Genomic DNA, 13,112 nt, shown 5'->3' on the forward strand with positions numbered 1-13,112 from the left:
TTAAAAAGAACATATTCTCTTTATTTCTGCTTGGGATACAAATGTTCAGTTTGGATGATGAGAATGAGGCAAGTACTGGAGACAATGGCTGGCTCTCCTGTTTGTCCCAATAAACTCCAATGGAGGAAGAAGCTAAACAGGTTTTGGATGGTTTCGGTCTACTGCATCTAGCTTATCAAATCTACAGCCTGGTACTTCTGGAACAGGACTTCCCTGCCCCAGTGATGACAGTTAAAGATGGCAAAAATGAAGAATTCAACATGTATACGCAGTGCAGTCTGATGTCTTCAGATGTTCTCTAAAATTCTGTATTTGGTCAGAGCTGGGAGTGAGATCAGGGTGCTTGCACATTTCTGCTCCACTGCTCCCGATTCTGCTTTGCTGCCTTGGAGGGAGAGTAGATTTAGATCTGGGGGCTGGTGGGGGCCATAGCCTTGGCAGCTTGCTGGGCTAACCAGTACTTATATCTTTTGGTCTTGGGCTTCTCAAAGTTCACGACAGACATAGGCACTCTCACAGTATCAAGCCCATTTACCTGCACACAAAACAATGGGAATTCTCAGAGATCAGTCAGGTAAGTAAGATTTAGCACCACCTAATCCCAGCTTTTCACCCTGACTTTTCTCCCAGTCAGAAAAAGGAGAGCTAGGGCTGGGCACAGTGGCTTATGCCTGTAATCCCAGCACTTTGGGAGGCTGAGGCAGGTGGATCACCTGAGGTCAGGAGTTTGAGACCAGCCTGGCCAACATGGGGAAACCCTGTCTCTACTAAAATACAAAAATTAGCCAGGCACGGTGGCGTGTGCCTGTAATCCCAGCTACTAGGGGGACTGAGGCAGAAGGATCGCTTGAACCTGGGAGGTGGAGGTTGCAGTGAGCTGAGATCGTGCCACTGCACTCCAGTCTGGGCAACAGAGTGAGACTCCAGCTCAAAAAAAAAAAAAAAAAAAAAAAAATTAGAAAAAAGGGAGAGGTAGGTGCTAGGTGCGGTGGCTAACGCCTGTAGTCCTAGCTACTTGGGAGGCTGAGGTGGGAGGATCGCTTGAACCCAGGAGTTTGAATCCAGCCTGGGCAATGAAACAAAACCCTGTCTTTAAGAGAAAGGAAAAAAAGGAAAAAGTGGGGGAAAAGGAGAAAGAAAAGAAAAAAGAAAGTATGCAAAACACTCACCGTCACCTCACACCAATACTCGCCCCACCGTGTGATAGGCTCTTCTGGTAACTTTAATGTATGTGGGGCAACCACAACACCAAGCTGCAAAAAAAAAAAAAAAAAAAAAAATCTCAGCTCAAATGAACTCTGTTTTCATGACTGCCACTCTAGGGAACCTCATAAAGAGGGTTACAGGATTCCCTGCACAGGGATGAATAAAACTGGGGTGTCTACTCTGGCTGATTCCATGGGAGAGAAGGGCATACACCTTCATAGACGGTAGTAGAGAAATTCAATTCTGATTTCTCAGAAAGGGAGGTAGATTCACAAAGAGAAACAGGGCTTGAGGCCAAAACCACTTCATCCACAAAAGTAACAATTCTCCAGTGAGTCACAAATCCCCAGCATTTCCCTAGGTAGACAGGAAATAAATGGAAACCACCACCTTTTCCTATCAGTCTTCAAATTCTATGTGACCATCCTTAGTCCTTAGCCATTTCCTTCCCATATTCCTGCAAACTAACCAAGAATACTTTCCTTAACTACAACTGGATGATCACACCCCTTCCTAACAAAGGGATCAATCCCAGGCCTCCTTTCCAGAGGCAGCTTCCACCTCAGGGGTAGAGTGGTTTTTGGGAACACTCACTCACATTCTTAAAGAAGTGGCGGGCAACTATTTCAGGGTTCAGCTCCCATTTGACATTGTTCTTCATCCCTACCTCCAGGCGACAGCTTTTTAGAAATTTCACTGTCTGAAAGGAATTATGAGTTTGAGTCAAAGGAGAGGAAACATGTCAGGGTCACAGGGTATGCAAGCCAAGCAAGATGGCTCATGCCTGTAATCCCAGCACTTTGGGAGGCCAAGGTGGGTCTCCCAAAGTGGGTCACTTCAGCCCAGGAGTTTGAAACCAGCCTGGCCAACATGGCGAAACCCTGTCTCTACCAAAAATACAACAGTTAGCCGGGCATGGTGGCGGGTGCCTGTACTGATTATCTTCTCATGTGTCCATGTTCTCTCCAACTTGTACGTAAATATCCTTGAAGGCAGAGCCCTCATCTCAGACTATTCCATGGGTTCCCTGATTCCCAGATTGGGACCTCCCTTGGTACTTTAAGGCACTTCACCCAACACATCAGGGATCTCCCAAGAGGTCTCCATACCTGTTTTGTGGGGCAGCCACAACACTTCCCCTTTCTCCCACTCTTGGGTCTGCAATCAGGAGACCTCAAGGGAATCAGGGAGACTCTCAGGGTGAGGTTGGTAAGTCTTGTGACAAATAAACACTTTTTATGTTTCTACTCACCGCCTCACCTGCCTTGGTCTGGATCTTCTCTAATTTTCCTTCTTGTCTCAGCTAGAAAAGAAAGTTAAAGATGAAAAGCAGTAAAAGAAAAATGAGCCCATGTTAAATAGCATCAAACTATTCCTATGTTGGACATTGGCTGGGCTTCTGCATTCCTGTTCTTCTAGTTCCTATTTCATTTTCAAGTTAAGTTAAATGTCAAAGGGAAGGAAGCTGCAAGAGAAAAGAAGTTTTATCTCCCCAAGTCTCTCTGTCCTTCCTTTGAGCTCACCAATTTCTCCTCTTCAAACAGCTTCTTGTTTTCAGGGGATGCATATACAGCCAGTCCCTGAGGAAGGAGTCGATTCCGGCCTAAAGATTTCTTCACTGAGACCAGGTCACCCCGGACTCCAACATCTGTCAATTAGAACAGAGACAGGGGAATTAGAACCATCTAGGAGTCCCTAAAGAAAAGATGTCAAAAAGAGAAGCACCTCTTAGTTTCTCACAGTGCTTATTTTTCCTAAAAGAAATGCTAATTCATATTCACTAGGAACAAGATTTAAGAGACTGCTAATTAGTTTCTTTAGAACTTGATGTATAAATTTAATATCCCCTGTATAGAGGGAGTTGTCGTCCCATGGAGGATTTCAGTATCTGTGGCACAAATTGTCAGGCTCCTCTCCCCACACACTGTTAATGATGTTGCTGCCTTTATGTTTTAATTTTCAATGCTGGAGGCCAGTGTCACAATCACAATAGTTTTTATGGCTTCCTCTTCTCACATATAGAGTTGGATTGTTTCCACAAAGAAAAAGCAAGGCAAATAGTTGAGGGGGACGGGCTAGAAAAAGCTGATGCCAAACCGGACCAGCCTGAGAGGAAGCGCCTCGGCCCGGGCCTTACTCTCCACCGACTGCGTCAGGATGAGCTCCAGGTTTTCTTTGGGCCGATGCTTCGTGTCCTCCACCAGCTTATAGACGCGATGTCGCCGGTGCAGGCGCGGCTTCCGGCCCTCCCCGGCCAGCGGTACCTTCCACCAGCGCTCCACGATGACCGTGCCCTGGCGGCCAGGAAAGCGACGGTAAGCTAGTCTCCACAAGGAACACCCTCTCCCTCCACCACGGCCGCCAGCCCCTCAAGGAAAGCCCGCCACCCCCACATCGGCCCCCTCCAGGTCCCAGTGCGCCTCCAGAAACAATACTCGAGCGTATCTACCCCCTACCCCAGACTCAGCCCTCACCCGATTTTGAGAAAGGCTGAAGTTGCAGGCCAGGTCAGGGGCGTTCCCTTCATGTCGCGGCCGCAGTAGCTCCTGGACGCCTCCCCGAAGCAGCCGTCCAGCGCCCGCCCGCAGCAGAGCTCTGCCCGGGGCCGTGACAACGGGCGCCGCCATGTTCACAGGCACAGAATGAGACCTGAGGGAGGACCCCGGCGTCGGCGGCAGGAAAGGCCCCCGCCAGTGCTGCCTGCGGCGCGCCGGTACGGCTGAGCGAAAGTATGGGGAGCGGGCCGGGGAACAGATGGCACCGCGGCTTGCCTATTTTTGCTTTTTGGCAGAGGTGACGGACGCCTAGAATTACTGACTGATAATGGAATGAGTGTTAGGTGGACTGACGCCGGAAAAGACGCTCTTCCTCTTGAAAGTGTGGGCTTTGCTGTAGCTCCAGTTGCTGGGCTAACTTTTAATTCTAACGTTCTGTGATGACTGGATACTGACCGGAGAATGAATGATGCTCTCACTTTTCCTTACTTCAAATCTACCTAAAAGTGGTAAAGGATGGGATCCCTTGGAAAACTCTGCCAGCTCCAGGAGGAGCCTGACCCTTAATCATTATACTGCAGTATTTAAGCTAATAAAGGAGAATTCTAAATCACAAGCTATGTAAACCGTAGAAAAAAAAGCAACTATGGTAAGGCCGCGACAGTTCCCTCTGGGGAGGGTCTCAGTACTGGACAGAAGACCATAAAAACTGGATGAAAGAAGGTCCATTTGGCAGAGATTATGGAAAGACTGGCCCTTAAACATACTGACCAGTCCTCCTTCCTCCTAAATACACTACTTGGCCTCCTGGACACCGGTCTTCTTCAGTCTCGTTTGCTGATTTCTCCTTTTCTCCCCGCTTCTTAGAATGCCCTCGGGACTCCGTTTTTGAACCTTTACTCTTCTCAGTATACACTCACTGTTGATCTCATCCAGTCTCGTGGCTTACAATACCATTTATAAGCCAATGACTCCCAAATTTCTAGTTCCATCCTAGACATCTCCCAAACTCGTCTCAAATATTCAACTGTTTATTCGTCATTTTCCTCTTACGTATCCAAAGGACACCTCAAAGTTAACTGTCCCAAACTAATTTATTTATTCCCCCCTCGCCCCCAAAACTGCCCCATCTGCAGCCTTTTTCCTCTCAGTTGACAGAAACTCCATTCTTTCCATTCTAACTCTTTTCTCTCATACTCCATCAGGAAATCCTGTGGGTTCTACCTTTAAATTACAGATAGTCCCTGACTTGGATTTACAATTTTTGAGTTTGTGATGGTGTGAAAGTGATGTGCACTCAGTAGGACATCAATAAGTTACATGAAATATTCAACACTTTATTATAAAATAGGCTTTGTGTTAGATGATTTTACCCAACTGTCGGATAAGTTGTCTGAGCATGTTTAAGATAGGCTAGGCTAAGCTATGGTGTTTGGTAGGTGTATTATATGCATTTTCAACTTATGATACTTTCAACATACGATGGGTTTATCAGGACATAACCCTATTTTAAGTCAAGGAGCACTTGTATTTCCAGAATCCAGCCACTTGTCACCACCTCCAATGCTCTACCTTGGAATAAGACACTACTTTCTCCTGGATTACTGCAATAGTCCCCTAAAAGATATCCCTTAATTCTCTACAGTTTATAATTCTATGTAGCTTATTTATAGCAGCCAGAATGATCTTTTTAAAGCATAAGTCAGATCATGTCATTCTTCCACCCAAAACTTTGTAATGACTTCCTCCTTTACTCAAGGTAAAAGAAAAAGGCCATCAGATGGTCTACAAGGCCATACATACTCTGACCCCATTAGCTCCTCTCTAATTTACACTGCTCCACCCACAGTGGCCTCCTTGTTTCTTGAAAACACCAGGCACGTTTCCTGCTCAGGGCTTTTGCACTGGCTGCTTTTGCGTTGGATGCTCTTATCCTCAGATGCTGGCTTGGTTAACAACCTCACATCCTCCAAGTGTTTAATTAAATGTCAGTTTTTTTCAGTGAGAGATCACCCTATTTCTTACTGTAACCCTGACCCATCCCCTTCACATTCCTTATCTTCCTTTATCTTGCTCTATTCCCCCCACCCCATAGCAGTTACCTTCTAACATACTAAACAATTTACTATGTTTATTTTCTAGGTTTGTCCTCTCACTTTTAGAAGATACGTTCCATAGGGCAGGGATTTGTTTTGTTCACTGATGTATCATCTCAAGCACCTAGAATAGTGCCTGGCTAATAGTAGACCCTCAATAAATATTTGTTGAATGGATAAATATGCAGAGGTCTCAAAGTGGCAGTCCCAGAACCAAATTTTGCTTACAATGTTGTTTTTTTATCAACAATTTTTTAGTAGTTGATTTTTTTTTTTTTTTGAGTTGGAGTCTCGCTATGTTGCCCAGGCTGGAGTGCAGTGGCACGATCTCAGCTCACTGCAAGCTCCGCCTCCTGGGTTCACGCCATTCTCCTGCCTCAGCCTCCCGTGTAGCTGGGAATACAGGCGCCTGCCACCACGCCCGGCTAATTTTTTGTATTTTTAGTACAGACAGAGTTTCATCGTGTTAGCCAGGATGGTCTCGATCTCCTGACCTCGTGATCCGCCCGCCTCGGCCTCCCAAAGCGCTGGGATTACAGACGTGAGCCACCGTGCCCGGCCCAGTAGTCGATATTTTTTAAAATTGGTGAGATTTACTACAAAACTGTCTTTCCAGTTTCTGTTCAAAAATCATACGATACAGCACCATCAAGTCTGCATTCTTGCATGGAACTGGATGGAATTGAGTTGTGTGGACTTCCTTTAGATAACGTGTGAGCTTTCCTATTTTGCTACAGCCCTACCCTGCCACTCCACTAATTTCCATAAGCTGTCTAGGCCCCTGAAGGGGCCTAGACAATTAGTTTGCAATTCCTACCCTACAAGGATCCTGGGTTATTAAGGGTAGGGATGATAATAAAAATACTCAACTGGTATGAACTGGGAACCAACTAATCAGGTCACCACTGGATCAGAGCCTTGGAAGAGTCAGATACCAACTCTTTACTTGCTGGATTTTGGGGGAAGGGGAGTGTCCACAGAGGAGCAGGGTGGGTGGGCACAAGTGCTCAGGCAGGGCTTTTGGCCAACCAGTACAGAAGTCTTCAAGTTCTATTTTTTAATCATTCATACAGCCATAACATGCATACTAGTCGAATATGAGCCTTGGATAAGGGATTAGGGTAGATAAGCAGCAGAGTGGAGTCCTGAGGTGACATAAGGGCTGACCCCTTATCCATGTCATAGTGCCCACTGGGTCACAATGCCACCAGGTTGCCTAAACCTCTGCCACCCACCTGTGAACTTCACTTTGCCACAGGGAGGCACTGAACTGAAAAACTGCCTTGTAAGAGGTGTCGCCCCTCTGTCTACTCCCTTTCTTATATCAAGAGGGGAAAAACACGTAACTACCTCTACCCGATCTGGTCACCATACGCCTATTACCTTTACTGTTACAAGTACCGGATCACTCTCCGGGAGAAGATGCTGCCTCGTTGTTATAAAAGGTACTTGTTTTCATCTCTATTTGTAGTTGTTTATATAAAATGTAAGGAAAAAGTAAAAGAATTTGAAAGAATTTCCCAAATGGCAAGAAATAACAACAGAATAGGGGGTGGAAAGCTGGCATGGAACTTTAGAATTTTTCCATCTGGTTGGGCCCAGGAACATAGAAACAGGCTGGACAACAGAAAATACAGAAGATCATGCCAGAGCCTGGTACTGTGTATCTTCCCACCTCAGATTCCAAGATAAACTAATTTGGGTCTCTTTCCCAACCAGCATCACTTATAAGGAAGAGGAGGACTTGACACTCCAGCCCCGTTCCTGCCTCCAGTGCTCCTGAGTCCCTAGTAGGCCTCCAGGAGGGCAAAAGCACCGAGCAGGGTAACCACGACCAGCTTAAAGAACTGTATTCGGTAAGTGGACTGTGAGCTAGTGCTGTGACAGGGCAACCCTTTTCTTGCATACCTTGCAGAGGAGGGACATTAGCAAGTTGGAAGATGAATTACAGAGGTAGATGGAATCTTGGAACGCATGTGTAAAAGCTACTTGCTATATAGACAAGCATTCTGGCCCACAGACTGTAAAATCAAGGTCATACAGATGGTAGTGAAAATCAGGATTGGGAAAAGAGGGAGTGGGGACAAAGGTAAAACAAACTCTGTAGGACTTCTGGGACATAAAGCTGTTTATGCCAAGATCCTGCTTAAAGATGCTAAGCAGGATCTGGAATCCAGAACTTGCCCACATATCATATTGCAATAACAAGCCTGGTTGTAACCATGGCATTTTAAATAGAAGAATTTAGAGAAAACCCATATAATGAAAAAAGTGGAAATTATTAGTGAGAAAGGAAGCACATTATAAAGCTTTGTTTAAATCCTAAGCTCTCTGATGTAAACATTTCTAAGTTCCTAAATGGTTATTGTACTCCTGGGTTGAAGTCAACAGGCAGTAATACTGCCTCAGCTGGATTGTTTGATATAAAGGAGAACTCCACAATAGGCATAGGCTATTAGTTCCTGGGACTAAGGGATATTATTGCATCTTTAAGATCTTGGCTCCAATTCTCCCAGGCTCTCCCCATCAATGCCCACCTTGCTTCAACGGACACACCCCCATCTGCCTGAGGTCTGATTTGAAGACTAGAGGAGCATTTTTACTCCTTTTCCAGGCTGGGAACTTGACGGTGCTGGCTACTGACCCCCTGCTCCACCAGGACCCAGTACAGTTAGACTTTCACTTCCGCCTTACCTCCCAGACCTCTGCCCATTGGCACGGCCTTCTCTGTGACCGTCGACTCTTCCTGGATATCCCATATCAGGCCTTGGATCAAGGCAACCGGGAAAGGTGACTGAGCCTGGATGGGAGAATGGGGAGGGAATAGGTAGGGGATTTCACCCTTCTATCATGTCATAGTACATAAGGCTAATTCTGGAGCTAGATATAAGCAATCCATTCACCTGGCATGCAGACAAGCCTGTGAGCTGAGCCAGGATCTGGGGTTCAAGGGATAAGAGTCCATGGGAAGCTGGACTCAGATCCAGAAATAGTTGAATAACGGGAAGTACTTTCTAGCTGTTCATCTCAGTAGTCCTTTCTCCCCAGACCCCTTCTGTGGCTTACATCCAGTGATGTGCAATCTCTTGGCTTCCAAGAAAAATCTACCAAAACTAGTTTAGCAACTTTCATTTCCTGGCTTGGGTGGGTGGAGGGCAGAAAACGACCAATAATATTTTTACTGCTCCAAGTAGGTGTCTTTCTGGATTCTGAGTTGGCCAAATTTTTTTTTCCCAGTATTTATTGATCATTCTTGGGTGTTTCTCACAGAGGGGGATTTGGCAGGGTCATAGGACAATAGTGGAGGGAAGGTCAGCAGATAAACAAGTGAACAAGGGTCTCTGGTTTTCCTAGGCAGAGGACCCTGCGGCCTTCCGCAGTGTTTGTGTCCCTGGGTACTTGAGATTAGGGAGTGGTGATGACTCTTAACGAGCATGCTGCCTTCAAGCATCTGTTTAACAAAGCACATCTTGCACCGCCCTTAATCCATTTAACCCTGAGTGGACACAGCACGTTTCAGAGAGCATGGGGTTGGGGGTAAGGTTATAGATTAACAGCATCCCAAGGCAGAAGAATTTTTCTTAGTACAGAACAAAATGGAGTCTCCTATGTCTACTTCTTTCTACACAGACACAGCAACAATCTGATTTCTCTATCTTTTCCCCACATTTCCCCCTTTTCTATTCGACAAAACCGCCATCGTCATCATGGCCCATTCTCAATGAGCTCTTGGGTACACCTCCCAGACGGTGTGGCGGCCGGGCAGAGGGGCTCACTTCCCAAAAGGGGCGGCCGGGCAGACGCACCCCCCACCTCCCGGAGGGGGCGGTGGCCGGGTGGGGACTGCCCCCCACCTCCCTCCCAGACGGGGCGGCTGACCGGGCGGGGGCTGCCCCCCACCTCCCGGACGGGGCAGCTGCCGGGCGGAGACGCCCCTCACTTCCCAGACGAGGCGGCTGCCGGGCGGAGGGGCTCCTCACTTCTCAGACAGGGCGGACGGGCAGAGATGCTCCTCACCTCCCAGATGGGGTCGCGGCTGGGCAGAGACACTCCTCAGTTCCCAGACAGGGTCGTGGCCGGGTAGAGGCGCTCCCCACATCCCAGACGATGGGCGGCTGGGCGGAGACGCTCCTCACTTCCTAGACGGGATGACGGCCGGGCAGAGGCGCTCCTCACATCCCAGACGATGGGCGGCCAGGCAGAGACGCTCCTCACTTCCCAGACGGGGTGGTGGCCGGGCAGAGGCTGCAATCTCGGCACTTTGGGAGGCCAAGGCAGGCGGCTGGGAGGTGGAGGTTGTAGCGAGCCGAGATCACGCCACTGCACTCCAGCCTGGGCAACACTGAGCACTGAGTGAACGAGGCTCCGTCTGCAATCCCGGCACCTCAGGAGGCCGAGGCTGGCAGATCACTCGTGGTTAGGAGCTGGAGACCAGCCCGGCCAACACAGCGAAACCCCGTCTCCACCAAAATACGAAAACCAGTCAGGCATGGCGGCACGCGCCTGCAATCCCAGGCACTCAGCAGGCTGAGGCAGGAGAATCAGGCAGGGAGGTTGCAGTGAGCCGAGATGGCAGCAGTACAGTCCAGCTTCGGCTTTCACAACTTTGGTGGCATCAGAGGGAGACCGTGGAGAGAGAGGGAGAGGGAGACCATGGGGAGACGGAGACGGAGAGGGAGAGGGAGAGGGAGCGGCCAAACATTTTAACTGTTTTTCTGTGGCTCCTAGTTTGACTGCAACCCTGGAGTACGTGGAAGAGAAGACAAATGTGGACTCTGTGTTTGTGAACTTCCAGAATGATCGGAACGACAGAGGTGGGGATCTGCTGTTCTTCCTTGCTTTTCGCGCTGAGGCAGCTGGATAACTCCTTTTCCTTTATAGGAGACCCTCTTCCCCTGTCTTTAAAAATGCACCCTCAGGCATTTCAGGGATTCTTTTCTTCCCACCTACCACGAAGGTGGGAAGTTGTAACTTGTTCCATCAAGTTACAACTGGACTCTGAGGAAGCCCCTGCAGGTGGTGTTAGGGGCCAGACTGAAGGAGCACTGGTGAAATTACACAGAATCCATTCAAGGGATGTGGCCAGCAGGACAAAATGGATCTCAAACATATGGAGCACCTACAATGTGAAAGGGTCAGACATAAGGCCAAGGGAACGGGGACATATTTAACCGGATGCCTGGAGCATATGTTACAGAAACTATAGCCTCTTGCCTCAAGGAGCTCAAACTCTGTTGGATATAAGGGATGGTGAATAACCATTCATAAGTGATAGATACTATTTCAGAGCTTACTATGTCATCATTGTATTAGTATATAGGTAGACCTCACTAATCTCTAGTGTTAAGCACTTCATGAACATCTCATTTCATCTTAAATTCTGTGAGGAGGAAGGTTCTATGATTTATAAATGGAAAATTCTATAGATGGAAACTGAAGTTCTGCAGGACTAACTCACAGAACAAGTGTTAAAACCAGAGTTAGAGCCTAGGTCTGTTGGACTAAAGCACATCCTATATGCCTGCACTACACTGCTTCCCAGGGCCACTCCCTAGTGGAAGAAATCAAATCTGGGGGCATACATGTATTGAGTTTTAAAGCATGTTCTAATCATTTGTTCTATCCTTTCACAGGTGCCCTGCTGCGGGCCTTCAGCTACATGGGCTTTGAGGTGGTCAGACCAGATCACCCTGCCCTCCCTCCCTTGGACAATGTCATCTTTATGGTGTATCCCCTTGAAAGGGATGTTGGCCACCTGCCCAGTGAGCCTCCTTGAACATGCTTATTCCAACGCTTTGAGGGGCTGGAAGCCTTGACACATGGAATCAGGGGCCCGGGATGTGATTCAGGACACTTTCCATCCTAGGAATAAAGGGTAGTGCAATCATCAAGTGTTCACGGTTTCTTGGGGGGGTGGGTAATAGGGTTGACTGGAGTGGGATATACACCTTAACAGAGCTAAATTCACTGAAAAGATCACAGGGACCTGAACTACGGAGGAAAGTACCTAAGGATTTTTGGTTCCCTTTGCCTTCCTCCATGCCCCAAACTATTTCCCCATTTATTCTAACCATTTACTGAGCACTAATCAGTGAACTTCCTAGTTCAGAAAGACTGAGCTTTGTTAGGCTGTTTTTATCCATATATTTCAGTTGAGGTGCTATAGATGTGGAGAAAACCAGAGAAGGCACATAGATCTCTTGGCTTTGGCCCAAGTTGGGGGATCTCAACGGACAGAATAGGTAACATAGAAGAGGGCATTCCAGGCAGCAGGAAAAGTACTGGGTTATACTAACAGAATGACAAAGAACCCATCAGAATGGGCTGTAAACAGGTAAGACTTAAAGGCATATTAAAGAAAAAGACTTTTATACATAGTAACAAACTGCAGGTAAGAATGAGACATTACTCATTTTCCAGGGTAGGAAGTCTTATGAATGATTTATATCAGGGAACCTCTAAAGAGTAAAGGTTCCCTACGGAACTCTGGTAGCACCAGTTCCAGGGCTGAGCATGCTTCAGCGAGTTCATTGCAGGCAACATCTGAAACATCAAATAAATGGAAGCTCCTTAAAGATTCCTCCAAGAGTACCTGAACTACTCACCAGAACTGTTCCTTCACTAGAGCCTTTCTGCTAATTGGGACTGAGATTTTTCTTTTCTTTTTTTGGAGACAGCATCTTGCTGTGTCACACAGGCTGGAGTGGAGTGGTGCAATCTTGGCTCACTCACTGCACCCTCTGCTTCCCTGGGCTCAAGCGATCCTCCCACCTCAGCCTCTCAAGTAGCTAGGACCACAGGCACACACCACCATGCCTGGCTAATTTTTTTGTATTTACGGGTTTCAGCATGGTGCCAGGCTGGTCTCGAACTCCTGAGCTCAAGCAATCTGCCCGCCTCGGCCTCCCAAAGTGTTGGGATTATAGGTGTGAGCCACCGGTGCCTGGCTAATACTGAGATTTTTCTGAGAAAATAAATTTTGAGAATTGTGGTTGTGAGAAAATATAGTTGCCATGTAGTATAGAGGTAGACGTTACTAATCCCTAAATTTAAAAAAAAGACCTGTGTAAGGCATCCTTATGTGCTAGTTTTAAATTTTCTAGTTTATCTTGCTTTATCCTTAAAAAAAATTCACTTGCCATTTTTCTACCATCCACATTACTATACATTTATATTTACTTTCAAGCACCTCAAGTACTTCAAGCCTCGCATTTGAGCCTCACAGTACTGTCAGAAAGATGCTATAAGGAAACACGTTAAAATTTTGCAAAAAGTTTACAGTGGAGATCTACTCCTTAAAGATTCCTCCAAGACT

The 13,112-nt window shown here is 47.1% G+C and overlaps 3 protein-coding genes across 13 annotated transcripts in view, besides 3 other annotated features; 1 reads left to right on the forward strand and 2 right to left on the reverse strand.

Moving 5' to 3' along the window:
• MRPL9 (mitochondrial ribosomal protein L9) lies at positions 1-3,850 on the reverse strand. 4 transcript variants are annotated; one of them, NR_125331.2, is made up of 7 exons: positions 3,681-3,850; positions 3,304-3,500; positions 2,730-2,854; positions 2,459-2,509; positions 1,805-1,906; positions 1,170-1,253; positions 1-535 (listed from the first exon to the last, which is right to left on the reverse strand). NR_125331.2 is itself a non-coding variant. In NM_031420.4 (7 exons), the coding sequence occupies exons 1-7, from the start codon at positions 3,831-3,833 to the stop codon at positions 404-406; spliced, it is 804 nt and encodes a 267-aa protein (NP_113608.1). In that variant the 5' UTR covers positions 3,834-3,850; the 3' UTR covers positions 1-403. The 4 variants fall into 4 exon arrangements, 2 of the variants coding, with proteins under 2 accessions (NP_113608.1, NP_001287662.1); NM_031420.4 differs by having other exon boundaries at positions 3,344-3,500; NM_001300733.2 differs by lacking the exon at positions 1,805-1,906 and having other exon boundaries at positions 3,344-3,500.
• Positions 3,323-11,684, forward strand: OAZ3 (ornithine decarboxylase antizyme 3). 3 transcript variants are annotated; one of them, NM_001134939.1, is given in 5 exon segments: positions 3,323-3,521; positions 7,517-7,653; positions 8,412-8,587; positions 10,526-10,611; positions 11,431-11,684. In NM_001134939.1, coding segments are annotated over 5 exon segments (573 nt in total). In that variant the 5' UTR covers positions 3,323-3,489; the 3' UTR covers positions 11,574-11,684.
• Positions 3,621-4,000: an enhancer, noted in NCBI's record as "active region_1724". NCBI's record gives its function as "activates an Ori minimal core promoter by ATAC-STARR-seq in GM12878 lymphoblastoid cells {active_cell/tissue: GM12878}" and the evidence as "EXISTENCE:reporter gene assay evidence [ECO:0000049][PMID:35858748]".
• The window catches only part of TDRKH (tudor and KH domain containing), a 24,049-nt gene continuing 17,776 nt past the window's right edge, over positions 6,840-13,112 (reverse strand). For 3 of the 6 annotated variants that reach the window (XM_047441989.1, XM_047442008.1, XM_017000123.3), the window contains exon 14: positions 6,840-10,916. The gene's annotated coding sequence lies outside the window, so the exon portion shown is untranslated. Of the gene's footprint in view, positions 10,917-11,921; positions 12,341-13,112 lie in introns of those variants that run through there. The other 3 variants (XM_017000126.2, XM_017000127.2, NM_006862.4) reach the window with 1 other exon arrangement.
• Positions 9,424-10,120: an enhancer, noted in NCBI's record as "NANOG-H3K27ac hESC enhancer chr1:151741546-151742242 (GRCh37/hg19 assembly coordinates)". NCBI's record gives its function as "activates a minimal SCP1, AML or CMV promoter by ChIP-STARR-seq in primed H9 embryonic stem cells {active_cell/tissue: H9 hESC(primed)}" and the evidence as "EXISTENCE:reporter gene assay evidence [ECO:0000049][PMID:30033119]".
• Positions 10,121-10,815: an enhancer, noted in NCBI's record as "H3K27ac hESC enhancer chr1:151742243-151742937 (GRCh37/hg19 assembly coordinates)". NCBI's record gives its function as "activates a minimal SCP1, AML or CMV promoter by ChIP-STARR-seq in primed H9 embryonic stem cells {active_cell/tissue: H9 hESC(primed)}" and the evidence as "EXISTENCE:reporter gene assay evidence [ECO:0000049][PMID:30033119]".

This window comes from Homo sapiens, chromosome 1 (genome assembly GCF_000001405.40).
Source record: "Homo sapiens chromosome 1, GRCh38.p14 Primary Assembly".
NCBI lineage: Eukaryota > Metazoa > Chordata > Mammalia > Primates > Hominidae > Homo > Homo sapiens.